The following is a 17,790-nucleotide window of genomic DNA, read 5'->3' as shown; positions in this document are numbered from 1 at the left end:
CCAGAGAGCAGAAGGATGACAAAGGACTCTCAGATGGAGGTGTTCAGGAAAAAAACAAAAACAAAACAAAACAAAAAAATGAACTGATAAACCATCTAATTGGTTTGAATGTATGAAATTATGCTGAAGATGTAGGAAGGTTTTGCAATAGATAAACTAAACCACTGGGGGGGAAATTTTTATCATGAGGAGAAAAGAGTTAAATAATGAAGGAATACAATCATAGTACCCTACTTGGCTCATCTGGGAATAACAGTGACATAGTTTAAACAGTGTAAACACTGAATAATAACCAATATTTGTGATACAGTAATACTGGAATGATTAGATGATAGGGCAAAGCTGGGTTGAGTGACTATGAAAGAAAGAGAAGAGTGCTAAATCTCAGCCTAACGAGATGGGAATGAAGTCAATAGACAAAATCCTAAAATTGATTCATCAAAAAAATAATAGTATGAGCCTTTGTTAAGTGGCCAGGACAACAGGTGGGGGGAGGGGGGGAGACAGGAGTTAGAACATTGCTATTTTTCATTCTTAGCATTTACCAATATGTATAACTATTACAGTGATAAAAAATTAACTCACACTACTGAGCTTTGGTATAAAAATAGATAAGCCAGTTTAGGTGAAATGAAATTCTGACCTAAATATAAAACAAAAGTTTCATTTCTGCCTCTTTGCTAGAAAGGTTCCTTATTCAAAATAAGAATTCCTAAGACATTTAAAAGAAGAGCTGTTCCTCGGCTGGGCGCGGTGGCTCACGCCTGAACCCCAGTACTTTGGGAGGCCGAGGCGGGCGGATCACGAGGTCAGGAGATTGAGACCATCCTGGCTAACACGGTGAAATCCCGTCTCTACTAAAAATACAAAAAATTAGCCAGGCGTGGTGATAGGTGCCTGTAGTCCCAGCTACTCGGGAGGCTAAGGCAGGAGAATGGCATGAACCCAAGAGGCAGAGCTTGCAGTGAGCCGAGATTCAACCACTGCACTCCAGCCTGGGAGACAGAGTAAGACTCTGTCTGAAAAAAAAAAAAAAAGAAAAGCTGTTCCTCAAATCCCTTCAGTTTACAATAACTGGCTACAATTAAGAGTTAGGCTCATGTGTACATTATCATAGTATCATGGTGACTGATGTCTGTTACTTCTTTAAGACTATTATTTCCATAATTGATTAAGCATAGCCAGTGCTGTCAACTGTCAGTTATCCACATTGGTGAAAAAATGCACTGAATTGAATGGTAATTTTTACACTCACATTTGATTTTTTGACAATTCTATTTGAATATGAGAGTCTTCTTATGGTCTTGGAATACGGCCCAAACCAAAAGCACTGTCTTCTTTCATGCCACAAACATTTATTACTATTGTTTATAATCATGACTATGTATGTCTGGTCCCACCTGTCGATCCCGCTTTGCTTTCCACTACTCTCCAACACTTCACCAAACTCTTCCATGTCCAAAACACACACATACCACAGTCATTCATAACTCTGTTTAAGGGTGCCTCTTCCCTTCACCTTTTTGAAGCAGTGTCTTATAGATAGAAAAACACACAGACACAAATTCAAATCTCAGATCTGCCATCATCTGGCTCTGCAACCTCAGACAATTTCATTAACATCTCAGAACCTCAGGTTCCCCAACTGTACAGCAAGGATATTAATACAAAGCTGTAGAGAGATGTTATGAGGGCTACACTAAATAATGGACATAGCACACACACACAAATTACAGGAATATATATGGCAATTGTCATCAGCAAAGACAACATTATATCCATGCAAACAATATCCACCCTCTGACACACGATAGACGATCCATCTGGGCAGGAACAGTGCCTTTTTCACCACTGTAGAGCCAAAGCCCAACAGAGTCTAGCCTAGAGCGAGCTCTCAAATGTTTACGGAACCGAAATGAACATTAAGGTCCAGCTCACTCCCTGACTCTGCAGGAAGCTTCCCTGACCACACTGGTCCACAGTGCTTCATCCTCTGACCTACTATAGCACTCTGCAGTACATCAGAACAGTACAACATCTGCCACCCATTTCTTCAGACTTGGTCTAAAAAAAGAAGACAGACTCACCAGGACAATGACGTTAATTATGGCTATAGTCAGGGAATGTAAGAATATTTTTTAAATACCTAGTTGACTTCATTCACACACTACTCCACCCTTCCAGTCCCACTATGCAGATCCTTTCTCTCAGTGTTCCCACTGAGGAAATCCTTCGTGATAAAGCTGGCAGATAAAAGCGGAACATCCATCAAATTCTAGTAAGTGCATTTTATCGGTTTAAATTCCTTTCCAGGGTAAAAAACTAGGTAAGTTTCCACTATTCATTTCGCTCAATACAGTAAATTTACCTGCAAAAAGTACAGTTAAGTCCTCACTTAACTTCAAGGATAGGTTCTTAGAAGCTGAACTTTAAGCAAAAATGACCTGCATATGAAAACAATTTTACCTTAAGCTAACTGATATAAACAAGAAAAAAGATCCTACGTATATACTACATACTAAGTGTTGTTTCACCTAAAGCTGCAGTTTCCAAGAACTTAACAATATTGAGGACTTACTGTATAGAAAAGTCTGAGGGGTTGTGGTTTTGCAATTCATATCTCTTAACATTATATGGTTTTGAAACCTGCCATGCAGATCACTGAATCCACAAACATTCAACCATGATGTAGCCCTGAGCTTCTCAGTCCCTATTACCAGCTACAGATGATCCCAAGGAGGGCTTTTCTCCACCAACTATGCCCTCTCTGTATTCAATGCACCTCCGGGAGTGGGGCAGCCCTCCTGTAATGGAATACCTAAAGGTACTACCTAGGAAGGAAACAAGGTAGATGTGGTCACCTAGCATGCTACAATATGCTCACATGAACAGAAACGTTGCTTTACCAGAAGAGTTGCATAAAATGAGTCATTAATGCTGAGTCACTAATAAATTATCTCTAACTCAGGTCATGAACACATGATTATGTAACTTTTCAAACGACTACAACCACATGCTGAATACATTAAGCACAGAAACAGTCATATCTGAGCACCTGCATAAGTCAAATTATTAAGGCAGCACCCTAGTTTAACCATCTGCCATGGAAACTAATAAAAAGTGTAGCATGCTCAGATGGATAAAATCCCCATTACAAACCACAAACATTTCACAGTATAGTCAAAAGGCGCACAGAACATCACTGCCTGTCCAACAAGGGCAATTTTGTTCCAGGGCAGGAAAAAATGCATAGGTCCTTGTCCTTGTCAGCCAGGTTCCAACAGCATCTGACAAGGTGAGTACAGTCACATGCTTAGGTTGGGGCTGGGGAACGAAGTGTCCTTCATCTCTCTCAGAAATGCCTCTCTAAAGCCAGAATGTGGCTTAATCTTCTTGCACCACTGAGAAAAGCACGCGCTAAACGTGCTAAATCCTAAGTATTTCTCAAGGCCCTGCTCAAAGATCATCTTCACCACACAATCTCTAGGAAGCCTCATTCTTCATTCTTTGAACAATTGAAAGCTTGCTTTCTCTTCCTAATGGAAATGCAAATAGAGGAAGGCGAAGTCCACGTTTCACCCTCATGCTAGACTGTAGATTCCATGAGGTATAAGCTGGGACTTCTCTTGCCCCCCGACAGTGGCAAATACACGCAGCACCTGGCACACAACAGAGATGCAGTAAATACCTGCTAAAAATTAATGCATGTGTTTTCAAATCTAAACTGAGGAACAAAAATCAACAAACACTGTTTCTAACCTCATGAGTCAGAACAGTAACTGAATTTCCAGGTACTAAGTGGTATTGTAAGGACTGGAAAGTAATATACTTAAGTATATTACTTTAAGTACAAAGGGTATAGAGTACTTTACTATTTCATCACTTATATACCATTTTCACAGCCCTTCCAAAAACATATTATCTCAGGTTCTACAACTCTGATAGAAGAGAATTATTATTTTCAACTTACTACTGACTTGAGTAAACTAATGAATGACTTGGACAGGTAAAGCTAGAACTTCTTGGAATCAAGATATGGAAAAACAGAAACAGAAAGGAAAAAAGAACAGGCCATCACTAAAGGAAATAAAACAGCCCTCCATTATATCCACCATTATAATACCTTAGTTGGTCACAAATCTACTAAAAGTCACTTTCTATGTAGAATTTATGAGAGATAAAAGAGCTGCAGTGAGTTTTTGCTGGCTTTAATCCAAAATGAGTCAACTTTTCCCACTAAAACTGTTGTACAGATTAAGTACTTTAAATACTGTATAAATGTTTCAAAATAAAATGGTTTTCTAACCTCTCTGAATGTTGAGAAAGTTGGTCATCACTATGCACAGTGAGGTGGACACAGAACCTGGCTTGCCAGTCCCCAGTGGCTCTGGGCCTTCTTCAGGAGAGGGTGAATCAGACAATGGTACTAGGAGGGTCTTTCAACTGCAAGGGAGACCATTCTTACAATCTAGAAATTCCCATCCTTTTTGGAATTAAGATGTGTCATACAATGTTTTTAGGAAAAAGAAAAGTACTTTAGAAGTAAATTTTTATAATATTTTTAAAACACTTAAAAAACTTAACATAGATTGTTGAGTCCTCCACAATAGAAAAATAGTAGAGTTTAAGTCAAGAGATTCATGAGGAGGTTTATGCTAGGCATGGTGGTGAAGTGAGCACGTTTCAGATATTATCTGGAAGTCAGATACAGTGGGAGGTCTTGCTAATAACAAGACTTGGGGACAAGGGAAGCGCAGGGAGATTCCTGAGTTGAGAGCTGAACTGACTGGCTGGTCTTGGGCCATCTACTAAAATGGGGAAACAGTGCATGGAACTGATCTGAGGTTCAAGGGGCGGGGGGAAATGAGTTCTGTCTGGGTGACCGATAGTCTGCGAGGCCTGACTGGTGTCCACTTTTGTATCTCATATATCAAGTTGGAGAATGAAGTCTGGAACTAGAAGGAGATGGCAGACAGAGAGAGGTATCTGGAGTCATAGCATGTAGGGAGATTTAAAGCCAACATAGAGAGGAAATACAGAAAAATATGCATGCCTGGTGCCCGTTAACATTTAAAGATGAGGCAAAAAAAAGGCAGAGCCAGCAAAGAAAGGCGGAAAGCAGAGGCCAGAACAGTAACAGGAAAACCAGGAGAGCCTGGTGTCCTGGACAACATTTCAATTCTACTGATGCTACTGAGACATCAAGTGCAGTTTAAAAACAAAAACAAAACACCAAAAACCTATGAGTTTAGCAATGTGTGGTCATTGAGGAGTTCATTTCAGTAGAATAAGGAAAGAAAGCACACTGAAGTGGGCCAAAAAGTTAAAGAAAATTTTTTTAAAAAATAAATAAATAATTGATATTCTAAACAATGAGAGGTGAGGAAGTTAAGAATGACAGGGTACATTGATCTTCCAATAAGTTTTACCAAACGAGGCAAGCAGATAACTATAATAAAGCATGATCAGCGCAACCAGAGAAGTCTGTTAAGTGTACAACAGGGACAAGGGGCAGGGTCAGAGAAAGCATATCGGAGAAGATGTACCCAATCCAAGAAATCAGGTGAGACCATTGCTACAGTAGTCGTGTCCTTATAACAAAACGAATTCCAGCAACTACACATAGCTGCCTGCTTATTCTCAAGTCAAAAAAATCCTGTTAGCCGGGCATGGTGGCTCAGGCCTGTAATCCCAGCACTTGGGGAGGCTGAGGCGGGTGGATCACCTGAGACCAGGAGTTTGAGACCAGCCTGGTCAACATGGCAAAATCCCGTTTCTACTAAAAATACAAAAATTAGCTGGGTGTGGTGGCGGGCACCTGTAATCATAGCTACTCAGGAGGCTGAGGCAGAAAAATGGCTTGAACCTGGGGGGCGGAGGTTGCAGTGAGCCAAGATTACGCCATTGCACTCCAGCCTGGGCAACAAAGTGAGACTCTGTGTAAAAAAAAAAAAAAAAAATTCCTGTTAAATGACAATCAGTACAAATAACCTTGATTAATTTGCACGACATCTACAATATCTGTAAGAAATTGTTTCATAGAATAAAAACATTCCCAAGTAATTATTTTCTGAAATAATCTTCATTATGGAACATAATCATTATTTTGCCTGACATACCTGCCCACCTATTGAGGACTCTTTTAAAAGAAAAACTCATCTTTCTTGAATTACTGCTTCACAGTAAAAGGACAAATAATTCTAAAAAAGCATCACTTCTCAGCCAGCCACGAAGAGTCCCCCTTGGAGTTTCAGTAGGTAAGCACACATCTATTCCTCTTCCATAACACTGCTAATCAAAGGTTTCAAAAGAGATACTGGTAAAAGGATTATTTTGTTTCCGTCCCCAAATGCCATAGAAAGTTGCTTTGGGAAAAGTTGGTTTGGCTGATCATTCATTTTTTGTGGTAGTGGTTCTTTTTTATGAAAGGTGCTTTCAGGATTGAGGGGGGCATATATTTTCACCATCTGATTAGAACCATTAACATATTTACCAAATATGAAGCTATGTATCACAGGATAAGAATTCCTCTACTATATGTTTAACTCTGGCAAATATAGCTAATACCATTTTATCACAAATTTCTAACAACAGAATACACAATGTGAGAAAGGCAAACTAGTCTCAAAGACTAGACAAACATTTATCACAGTATTTAATTTCAGATTCAATTTATCTAACTGAATACATTTATAATTCCAAAACTGTTAAGATTTGTTAAATACTTACATAATATAAAACAGATTTTACATACTAGCTGAGGGTGAAATAAATTATCTTTCATTCAGATTTTTTTCCTTTTTAATTCAGTTGTGAAATTAGCAGACGACTAGATCTGACCCCTTCAATTTAGTTAGTTCCGTGGCCAGAAATAAAATCTTGCAATGGTTCTTTCAGTAGTGTTCTTAAGGGATGGCCGGTGGGGACACAGGGTTTTTCTGCTTCTTGTGGTAGAAGGGAGTGAAGATAAGGTAAGGGCAGAGATGAGTTAAATGTCAGCCTTCCCGGAAATGAAAAACCAAATTAAATAAAACCCAAGGTTTCTTTTGATGATTCCCTTAAATGAAGACACAAGTTCACAACCCCTGATTGAGAATCCTTAGAGACAAGTATTTTGAATTCAGAATTTTTTAAATCTTAGCAAAGTCCTACAAGGGGAGCTCCTGTCAATTATCTAGTGCCACCCACAGGTCTGGGCAGCCCCCATAATAAAACACAGTATTTCTGCAGCTGAAGTGATGGAATAACAACAACCAGCGGCTTCACATCAGTCCAGGCCAGGTCTTGCCATTGAAACAATTATACAAAAACTTGCTATTTTCAGAGCCCTTAGATTTAACAATCGTGAGCTGGGCACAGTGGCTCTCACCTATAATCCCAGCACTTTGGGAGGCTGAGGTGGGCGGATCACTTAAGTTTAGGAGTTTGAGACCAGCCTGGGCAACACAGCAAAACCCTGTCTCTACCAAAAAAAAAAAAAAAAAAAAAAAAAATTTGTAACTAGCTGAACATTGTGGCATATGTCTGTAGTCCCACCTACTTGGCAGGCTGAGGTGGGAAGATCACTCAAACCCAGGAGGCAGAGGCTACGGTGAGCGGTGATTGTGCCACTGCATTCTAGCCTGGGGAAGAGAGCGAAGCTCTGTCTGAAAAAATTAAATAAAAAAAAAAGATATAACAATTGAGGATAAGGGATTGAGGACTTGTATTTAACACAAGTTATAGACTTGTATTTAACACAAGTTATAAGAAAATAAAGTTGTAGGAAAATGTTAGACCCCTAGATTCCAGTTCTCCTCCATACAAGCTGCATGAATTTAGGCAGGTTATTTAACATCTTTAAAGCCTGAGTTTTCTTCCCTATAAAATGGAAATAATGATATCTTCCCATGAGTCTGCTGTAAACAACATGAGGTAAGATGTCTGAAACCACGTCAGGCACTGGGCAGTAGGATGACCAACTCAGTTTGCCTGGGATTTTCCAGGTATTAACACCGACAGTCCCACATCCTGGGAAGCTAGGAGAGTTGGTCACTCTACTTGACAGGCATTCAGTAAATGGAACATATTCTTTTCTTTGCGGTGGGTGGGGGAGAGTAGAGGCAGGGTCTCACTATGTTACCCAGGCTGGTCTTGAACTCCTAAGCTCAAGCAATCTTCCCGCCTCAGCTTCCCAAAGTGCTGGGATTACAAGCATGTGCCACCATGCCCAGCCAAATGGAACAGATTCTAATATGAGGAACAGAAATTAACTAAAAGTAAAAATGCATCAGAGTGAACAGGCAACCTATAAAATGGGAGAAAATTTTTGCAATCTACCTATCTGACAAAGGGCTAATATCCAGAATCTACAAAGAACTTAAACAAATTTACAAGAAAGAAACAAACAACCCCGTCAAAAAGTGGGCAAAGGATATGAACAGACACTTCTCAAAAGGGGACATTTATGCAGCCAAAAGACACATGAAAAAATGCTCATCATCACTGGTCATCAGAGAAATGCAAATCAAAACCACAATGAGATACCATCTCACACCAGTTAGAATGGTGATCATTAAAAAGTCAGGAAACAACAGGTGCTGGAGAGGATGTGGAGAAATAGTAACGCTTTTACACTGTTGGTGGGAGTGTAGACTAGTTCAACCATTGTGGAAGACAGTGTGGTGATTCCTCAAGGATCTAGAACTAGAAATACCATTTGATCCAGCCATCCCATTACTGGGTATATACCCAAAATCATGCTACTATAAAGACACATGCACACATATGTTTATTGCGGCACTATTCACAATAGCAAAAACTTGGAACCAACCGAAATGTCCATCAGTGATAGACTGGATTAAGAAAATGTGGCACATATACACCATGGAATACTATGCAGCCATAAAAAAGGATGAGTTCATGTCCTTTGCAGGGACATGAATGAAGCTGGAAACCATCATTCTCAGCAAACTATCACAAGGACAGAAAACCAAACACCGCATGTTCTCACTCATAGGTGGGAACTGAACAATGAGAACACTTGGATACAGGGCGGGGAACATCACATATGGGGGCCTGTCGTGGGGTGGGGGGCAGGGGGAGGAATAGCATTAGAAGAAATACCTAATGTAAATGATGAGTTAATGGGTGCAGCAAACCAACACGGCACATGTATACCTATGTAACAAACCTGCATGTTGTGCACAGGTACCCTTCAAAAAAAACCAAAAAAGTAAAAATGCAATGTGGAAAAATCATGCAAAACAGTTTCAGCAGTGAGACAGCCAGACTACTGTCTGTGAATTGGAATCTTCTCTTTTGTGGTAGGCAGAATTCTAAAACCACACCCCCTGGTATGCACACCCAGTGTAATCCCCTCCCCAGGAGTGGAGGTGAGCATGGCCGGCTCAGGGGTGCCATTTTTCAGACATGAAAAGTCAGAAAGATTTGAAGCTACAGCAGATACTCTCCTCCTGGCCTTGAAGAAGCAAACTGCATGCTGTGGAGAGGGCCACATGGCTGGGACTAGTGAGGGCCTCTAAGACCGGAGGTCCTCAGTCCTACAACCACAAGGAACTGATTTCTGCCAACAACCTGAATGAGCTTGGAAGAAGGCCCTGAGCCTCAGAGGAGCTAGCAGTCCTGGCTGGTACCACGTTTCCCAGCCTGGGAGACCTAAGCAGAGGCCCCAGACATACCATAACAGGGCTTCAGAACTACAGAACTGTGAGACTAAAAATGGGTAACGTTTTAAGCCACCAAGTCTGGGGTGATTTGTTACATAAGAATAAAAAAAAAAATTTGAAGCGTATCCACTTCAAAGGTACAGATATGTGTGTGTGTTGAGGGGGGGAAATGTGTGCATGCCTGTATGTATATGCCCAATATATTATTTGTAAAACATAATTTCTTGCATAAAACCACTGTTTTTAATGGAAAAAGTTCAAATTCAAAAGAAGCCTCTTCATAAATTAAACTCAGTGGAAAAATGAATCTCAAAATACTCTTGGCCTTACAACTAAAACTTTCATACATTAATGATGAGGTGTAAATAGTACAACCACTTTGGAAAACAAGCAATTTCTACTAAACCTAAACACATGCAACACTATGACTTAGAAATTCCACCTTCTGAATGCACAGGTCCACACGCACACAAACGTTCATAGCAGCATTAGTCACAACAGCCAAAAACTGGAAGCAATCCAAATACCCAGGAACAGGAGAAGAAAAACACCAGGTATCTTCCTTCAGTGGACAATTCACATCAGTTAAAAAGAACAAACTAATAATATACACAACAGGGATGAATCTCACAGACATCACGTTGAGTGAAAGAAGCCAGACACAGAGAGTATGTAATGAAGGATTCCATTTCCATTAAGCAGTGACAGAAGTCAGAATATGAGTTACTTCTCAGGAGGGGCGTGCTAGGATCTGAATGTTTCCATCCCCACAAAATTCAATGTTGAAACCTAATCCCCATGTGGTGGTATCAAGAGGTGGGACCTTTGGGAGGTGATCAGGTCTTGAGGGCTCTGCCCTCATAAATGGGATTCCTACCCTTGTAAGATAGGCCCAAGGAAGCTTCCCTTGCCCCTTCCACCATGTGAGGACACAGGAACGAGGTGCCATTTATGGAGGAGAGAGCCCTCACCAGACACTGAAACTGCTAACATCTTGATCTTGGACTTCCCAGTCTTCAGAACTGTAAGCAATAAATTTCTGTTGTTTATGGATTACCCAGTCTAAGATATTTTGTTTCAGCAGCAGGAATGGATTAAGACAGAATGTAAAATCTGGGAAGGAGCACCAAGTACCCGTAACTGGTGCTGGAAATGCTCTATATTTTGATATTGTTGGCGCTTACATGGGTGACTGCATATAAAAATAATCGAGAGTTAAGTTTAGTGCACCTTACTGAATGTTTATATTGCTATGATCTCAATGTTTGTGTGCCCCCAAAATTTGTATGGTGAATCTCCCTAGGTGATGGTAATAAGAGGTAGGGTCTTTATAGGAGGTGATTAAGTCATGAGAATGGAGCCCTCATGTATGGGATTAGTGGCCTCATAAAAGAGGCCTCAGAGACACTCTCATCCTCTTTCCACCAAGAAGAAATAAAAAACTCTACCATACTAGCCCCGGATCTTGAGACTTTCAGCCTCCCGAACTGTGAGAAATAAATTTCTACTGTTTATAAGCCACCCTGTCTATATTTTGTTATAGTAGCACAAATGGACTAAGACCTATACTTGAAAAAATTCCTGCTCCTTTACAGTAGCTATTTAATAACCATTTAATGACATTTTTAAGATGCCTGAAATAGTCATGGATTCCTCATTTTAAAAATACCCAAATAAGCTAGTGAAGAGTAAAACATGAATATTGCGAAGGTGCCATACAAGCAAAACTTTGCAAGAAATTACCAATCACGCTCTTCTTTAAAACACAATGCCTAACACTTAAGTATTGCTCAATAAATGTTGGTTGCATGAATTTCATAATCCCACTGCTTATATTTTAGAAGCCCAGAGGAATCTACATGTACAAATATATGGCATAATAGCCTCAATATAATATACCCTATACATGTGAAAAACTATGGTTTTTGTCCATTAACTACTTCTTTACCTCCAAGTACGAAAACATACAAGCCAAGTGTTAAGCCATCACCAAAGGAACGTAGATGTTAACCGTGCAAGGTAAAGGCAGCACCACTTTCATTTTTCACACTGTCAGTGGGACATCAGGGGTGGGGGTAACTCTTTGCCATGTAGACTTGGAGCACGAAAAGTTGGTTAGGATCATCTAATTTAACCCCCCACCCTGGTTAGAAAGCGCCCTGGCCTCCCTACTGCTGGGCGTCTTCCCACTGCCCGGACCCTCTAAGAGAGACAGTGCAGGGAGAGGACAGCAGGGGTGCCAGGGACAACTGACCCACCTGGGGAGGCGCAGCCTACTGTGAACTATGTCCATCTTAGCATCTTTTCTGCCAGAGAATAAGAGACAGAACTCACAGCATGGGAAGTCTCACTAGGCAGCAAGTCTATGAAACTGAAATGAAGGAAGTTTCAAGTCCACAAGGGGCTCAAAAACACCACTGGAAGTGACCAAAAAGTGAAACAAAACCACAGCTCACCTCGCTATTGTGGCCCCGGAGGTTGAAATTTATCCTCTGTGGAGTACTCCTGTCCCTGCGACAGTGACTAGAGGTGAAAGTCACCCCAACCACTCCTCGCCCGTTGCCCGTGGCCAGCCAGCCTTCCTCATAGTAGCGTCTCCTGCACACAGGCTTCTCCTTCTCACTCTTGGGGACACGCCCCTTCCAGGACAGGCACAGGATGTTGGAATCGCTGCAAAGCACAGGCCCATGTTCCACTGCTGCATACATACTTTCTTCAATGAACTGTTTTACTTAAAAAGTAATGTTAATGCTGTGAAATTTAAACCAATTTCTTTCATTGGTATATGTGTTTTTGTGGTTGGCTTGCGTTGCTTTTTTCCCCCTTTAATTAAGACTGACCTGAATCTAATTAGAAGGTCAGTATTTTATAAAGATCCACCGAATGCATAGTGAAAAAATTCCTCTATAAAAGATGATGGCAGTCTTCTAAGAAAAGGTAATGCTTAAAAAAACATGGGGTCCATTTGTATTTTCAAGTTCTCAGAGGAAGAACGTGCTGATCCTTTGGAGAAAGAGCATCGTTAATTAAGTGGTGATCAAGAAACGGTTTTCTTCTTTTTACTCCACTTGGTTATTCTCATTCAGCCTGAGATTCCAGTTTAGTGTAATATGATTCCAGAGACAAAGGGTTGCAAATACATAGATTTCAAGTAACTTAAGGCTTTAAGAATCCCTCTAGCTCGAATTTTTCTCTTCAAAAGTTCGGATGCAGAGACAGAATACACAGGATCATCTTCCTTCTGAAGCCACCCTCTAGCATGTTTCCTGAACTAGACAAATTTCTGCTGCTAAAGCTGAAAAAGATTGCATAAAGGGAAAAAAAGGCACACAAACCGTGCAAAACAGACCAGAGTTTGTGCAGACAAGAGTCCAAATTTTAGGAAGAAAAACAGACTCTCTCCTTGTTGTTTCAGAACCAGAAACTTTCCACCTCAAAGCTTGGCCCTGTGTCCCCGGGGAACGCAGGGCTCCATCGGACTGCTCCTCCACCAGCCGGCGCACCCCTCAGTGCCATAGAGGCTAGAAAGAAGGCCCCTTCACTCAAGAGGCAGAATGTTCCAGCGCTCTTACAGTGGTCCCAGTGTTTGCCCTGGGTGAGTCTTAAATCCTCTTGCTGACAAAACAGAGCCACGTGGCAAGATTTTGTTTCTTTTGCTCGTCTCCCTTCTCGCTCCCCCAGTTAGCACTCCCCTTTTCTGCTCCTAAAGATCTTTTTCCATCTTGATGAAAAAAGCTAATCTTAGAATTAAGTCCATCAGGTAATCTTCTCATACGCAAGTCTTCTTGGACTTGACAGGGAAGTTAATCCCTTAAAACAAAAGCAGAAGCCAGAGTCAGATTCCCCCAGCTGTCTCCCTAGAGAGTGATAGTGTTTTGCTGATGGGTGCTTTCCTGTTCACATTCAGAGACTGTCTCCAAACACCACACCACTAGTCCAACAAAAAGAAAGCTTTGCTTGGATTTTCCTTGATATTTATTTAATAATTATTGGTTTCAATTGCTATTTTACAATATTATCCTATAGATGCAGGAAAAAAGGGGGGGAATAATAAATTAAAATTTCTCAAATACAGTTAATTAAGATAGGCAAAGGAATCAGTTCATTATTCAAACTTGTCCCATCATACTTGAACTTGCTTTCCTCTAGCCATAACCACAGTAGGAGTTACTTTTCAGTCTAGAATTTTAATCCGTCCAAATCACCAAACCCACTGAAAAATAAAGTGCAACAAACACTGTGTGAGCCGCTGCAATGTTTGAAATCACACTTCTTTCTCAGTCACCTTCTCACTTAGTTCCTTCTTTAAACTGGAGAATATTTTTGTGGTTTAATCTGCGCAAATTTTTTTTTCTTCTTTTTGCAGACTTTCTTTACCCGTGCAGACCATATGGAAAACTGGCCATTAGTGATGTATTTTTCTCCCCGGGCTCCTGAGCCCACTGGTGTCAAGTTGCTCCATCTGATTCTTAAATTAATTTTCATCAGTTGTAAAACTCTCAAGTGTGCACAAGAATGAGCCTGTCTTCCCGTGTGAATGTGTAAGTACAGAAAGAAGGTTTTAAATGCACATAGACACACACTCTTCAACTGCCATACGAAGCGTCTGCTTCCCCAGTCATTTCAGGAACCATCAGATTATTCACGGCTGGGAGGCCCTGGAGTCTTACAAATCTGTTTAAAAAAAAAAAAAGATATAAAATTTAAAAACTTTAAAACACTGGAAAATAAAGGTTTTAAGAATAATTGCTGAAACTGAAATGAGAGACCCATCTTTACACTTACATCAAATGGAGCTACTGACTGCACTGAATGGTAAAATCCAATAGTGAAAGGATACACCTCACCAGACTCAAGACAACACACAACAAATGAGAGTTCTGCCTGCCACTGATCGTTGTATTCAATTTGTCAGCAGCTGGGCACATCTGAATGAAATCATAACTGCCATTCTTCCACACTGAACTGTACTTTCTAAGAGACTGAACTCCGAATGTGAGACTCTACCCCTCCAGAGACCATGGTCGCTGTTTAAGCAGGCATCCTCAAAAAGGAGACTGAAATGACTCAGGCAAGTTATCTGGATTGATTTTTTCACGATTAATAAAAGATATTCCCTCAAGACACAAAGCAGTAAGGGCCTTTAAAACTCATTCGTCCCTGATGGCTGGCAGGTCTCGGAGCAAAGCGCAGCTGTTTTCTAAGCTTTTATGTGGTCTACCAGCAATAAAGTTCTAGAGAATCTGTCTCTAGCAAATCCATTCCATCTTCTTCCTACTGCCTGAAGTCCAGGCTGCATCACATCCTCTACAAACACGAGAACACTCTGTCCCTAACTTACTCATCCTCCCTGCCCTCCCGCCCCGCCAGTCCTTCCAGAAAGCAGAGTGGACTTTCTCAAATTCAGCAGACTCTCTCAGTCTCCTGGGGCAGCTGAAGCGGCCCAGCCCCATCCCACAGGAACTGGACACTGAAAGGGAAGGGAAGGGCCCAGGTGTTCGCATTTCTAATAAGCTCCCAAGAGATGCTAATGCTGCTGGGCAGGGAACCAGGCTTTGAGAACTACTGGCCTGTAGCATCAAGTCCCAGCAAAAGACTCTACTTTCATCATAATACTAGGACATAATTTGCCTTCTTCCGTGTTCACATTTGTACCCATGGTGCAAAATCAACAGTGGGTCAAACTGCAAGCTCTTTAACACTAATCAAGGTAGAGGTACCAACTGCACCAGTAGTCATAGATTAAAAAAAAGAAAGAAAAAAAAAGCCAGCCTCACTTAAGAACATCTTTGATACGGCAGTAAAAATTATTAATTTTATTAAATATCAGCCCTTGAGTACATGGTTTTTAATACCCTTGTGTCCCAAAATAGTAGGTACACATAAAGTACTTCTGTGGACTACTGAAGCACCATGGTAGTCCCAGGAAAAAGCATGTATTATACAGTTTAAGTTGCAAAATGAACTGCTTGCTTTTTTCATGGAATACCATGTGACATGGTTTGAATGTTTGGCCCCTCCAAATCTCATGCTGAAACGTAACCCCCAGTGTTAGAGGTGGGGCCTGGTGGGAGGTGTTTGGATCATGGGGGCAGTCCCTCATGAATGTCTTGGTGCTGTCTTCTGACAGTGAGTGAACTCTCACGATACCTGGTTGTTTAAAAGAATGTAGCACCAGGAGTTCGAGACCAGCCTGGCCAACATGGTGAAACCCTGTCTCTACTAAAAATACAAAAATTACCTGAGCATGGTGGTGGGCACCTGTAATCCCAACTACTCAGGAGGCTGAGGCAGAAGAATTGCTTGAAACCGAAAGGCAGAGGTTGCGGTGAGCCAAGATCGCACCACTGCACTCCAGCCTGGGCGAAAGAGAAAAACTCCGTCTCAAAAAAAAAAAAAAAAAAAAAGTGTAGCACCTCCCACCTCTCTTGCTGCTCCCGCTCTAGCTATGTGACATGCTAGTTCCTTGTCACCTTCTGCCATGTTTGTAAGCTTCCTGAGGCCTCACCAGAAACAGATGCCAGCACCATGCTTCCTGTAAAGCCTGCAGAGCCATGAGCCAATTAAAACAATTTTCTTTATAAATTACCCAGTCTCAGGTATTCCTTATAGTAATGCAAATGGGCTAATACCCCAAGTTTACTAAAAAGTATGAATGACAAATTATGGTTGTTCCAGCTGGGATATTTGGCCGACATTTTCTTGAACATGAACAAAGTAAGCCTGCCACTTTAAGGAAAACAACTAACAGAATTTGTTGTTGAAAATAAAAACTGAGCTCCCTCTCCCTCTCCCCCTCCCCCTCCCCCTCTCCCTCTCCCCACGGTCTCCCTCTCCCTCTCTTCCCACGGTCTCCCTCTGATGCCAAGCCGAAGCTGGACTGTACTTCTGCCATCTCGGCTCACTGCAACCTCCCTGCCTGATTCTCCTGCCTCGGCCTGCCGAGTGCCTGCGATTGCAGGCGCGCCGCCACGCCTGACTGGTTTTCGTATTTTTTTGGTGGAGACGGGGTTTCGCTGTGTTGGCCAGGCTGGTCTCCAGCTCCTAACCGCGAGTGATCCGCCAGCCTCAGCCTCCCGAGGTGCCGGGATTGCAGACGGAGTCTGGTTCACTCGGTGCTCAATGGTGCCCAGGCTGGAGTGCAGTGGCATGATCTCGGCTTGCTACAACCTCCATCTCCCAGCCGCCTGCCTTGGCCTCCCAAAGCGCCGAGAGTGCAGCCTCTGCCCGGCCGCCACCCCGTCTGGGAAGTGAGGAGCGTCTCTGCCTGGCCGCCCATCGTCTGGGACGTGAGGAGCCCCTCTGCCTGGCTGCCCAGTCTGGAAAGTGAGGAGCGTCTCTGCCCGGCCGCCATCCCATCTAGGAAGTGAGGAGCGTCTCTGCCCGGCTGCCCATGGTCTGAGATGTGGGGAGCGCCTCTGCCCCGCCGCCCCGTCTGGGATGTGAGGAGTGCCTCTGCCCGGCCGCGACCCCGTCTGGGAGGTGAGGAGCGTCTCTGCCCGGCCGTCCCGTCTGAGAAGTGAGGAGACCCTCCGCCTGGCAACCACCCCATCTGAGAAGTGAGGAGCCCCTCTGCCCGGCAGCCGCCCCATCTGAGAAATGAGGAGCCCCTCCACCCAGCAACCACACCGTCTGGGAAGTGAGGAGCGTCTCCGCCCGGCAGCCACCCCGTCCGGGAGGGAGGTGGGGGTCAGCCCCCGCCAGGCCAGCCGCCCTGTCCGGGAGGGAGGTGGGGGGGTCAGCCCCCTGCCCGGCCAGCCGCCCCGTCCGGGAGGGAGGTGGGTGGGTCAGCCCCCCGCCCGGCCAGCCGCCCCGTCCGGGAGGGAGGTGGGGGGGTCAGCCCCCCACCCGGCCAGCCGCCCCGTCCGGGAGGTAAGGGGCGCCTCTGCCCGGCCGCCCCTACTGGGAAGTGAGGAGCCCCTCTGCCCGGCCAGCTGCCCCGTCCGGGAGGGAGGTGGGGGGGTCAGCCCCCCGCCCGGCCAGCCGCCCCGTCCAGGAGGTGAGGGGCGCCTCTGCCCGGCCGCCCCTACTGGGAAGTGAGGAGCCCCTCTGCCCGGCCAGCCGCCCCGTCCGAGAGGGAGGTGGGGGGGTCAGCCCCCCGCCCGACCAGCCGCCCCGTCCG

At 43.3% G+C, this 17,790-nt stretch overlaps 1 protein-coding gene and 1 non-coding gene across 15 annotated transcripts in view, besides 3 other annotated features; both read right to left on the bottom strand.

Annotated features, from left to right (window-relative positions):
* Positions 1-17,790, bottom strand: part of TULP4 (TUB like protein 4) — a 279,634-nt gene that overhangs the window by 185,436 nt on the left and 76,408 nt on the right. For 12 of the 14 annotated variants that reach the window (XM_047419082.1, XM_047419087.1, XM_047419084.1 and 9 more), the window contains one exon: positions 12,125-14,342. In XM_047419082.1, the coding sequence (XP_047275038.1) occupies positions 12,125-12,376 (252 nt within the window). In that variant the 5' untranslated portion in view covers positions 12,377-14,342. Of the gene's footprint in view, positions 1-12,124; positions 14,343-17,790 lie in introns of those variants that run through there. The other 2 variants (NM_020245.5, NM_001007466.3) reach the window with 1 other exon arrangement.
* Positions 940-989: an enhancer, noted in NCBI's record as "active region_25353". NCBI's record gives its function as "activates an Ori minimal core promoter by ATAC-STARR-seq in GM12878 lymphoblastoid cells {active_cell/tissue: GM12878}" and the evidence as "EXISTENCE:reporter gene assay evidence [ECO:0000049][PMID:35858748]".
* Positions 2,983-3,052: an enhancer, noted in NCBI's record as "active region_25352". NCBI's record gives its function as "activates an Ori minimal core promoter by ATAC-STARR-seq in GM12878 lymphoblastoid cells {active_cell/tissue: GM12878}" and the evidence as "EXISTENCE:reporter gene assay evidence [ECO:0000049][PMID:35858748]".
* On the bottom strand, positions 3,265-3,411 carry SNORA116 (small nucleolar RNA, H/ACA box 116). Its single transcript, NR_145798.1, has one exon. It is a non-coding gene; the product is annotated as a small nucleolar RNA, H/ACA box 116 (small nucleolar RNA).
* Positions 12,225-12,304: an enhancer, noted in NCBI's record as "active region_25351". NCBI's record gives its function as "activates an Ori minimal core promoter by ATAC-STARR-seq in GM12878 lymphoblastoid cells {active_cell/tissue: GM12878}" and the evidence as "EXISTENCE:reporter gene assay evidence [ECO:0000049][PMID:35858748]".

This window comes from Homo sapiens, chromosome 6 (genome assembly GCF_000001405.40).
Source record: "Homo sapiens chromosome 6, GRCh38.p14 Primary Assembly".
Classification (NCBI taxonomy): domain Eukaryota; kingdom Metazoa; phylum Chordata; class Mammalia; order Primates; family Hominidae; genus Homo; species Homo sapiens.
The sequence above is the reverse complement of the archived record's forward strand: the minus strand, read 5'-3'. Positions and strand labels throughout refer to the sequence as shown.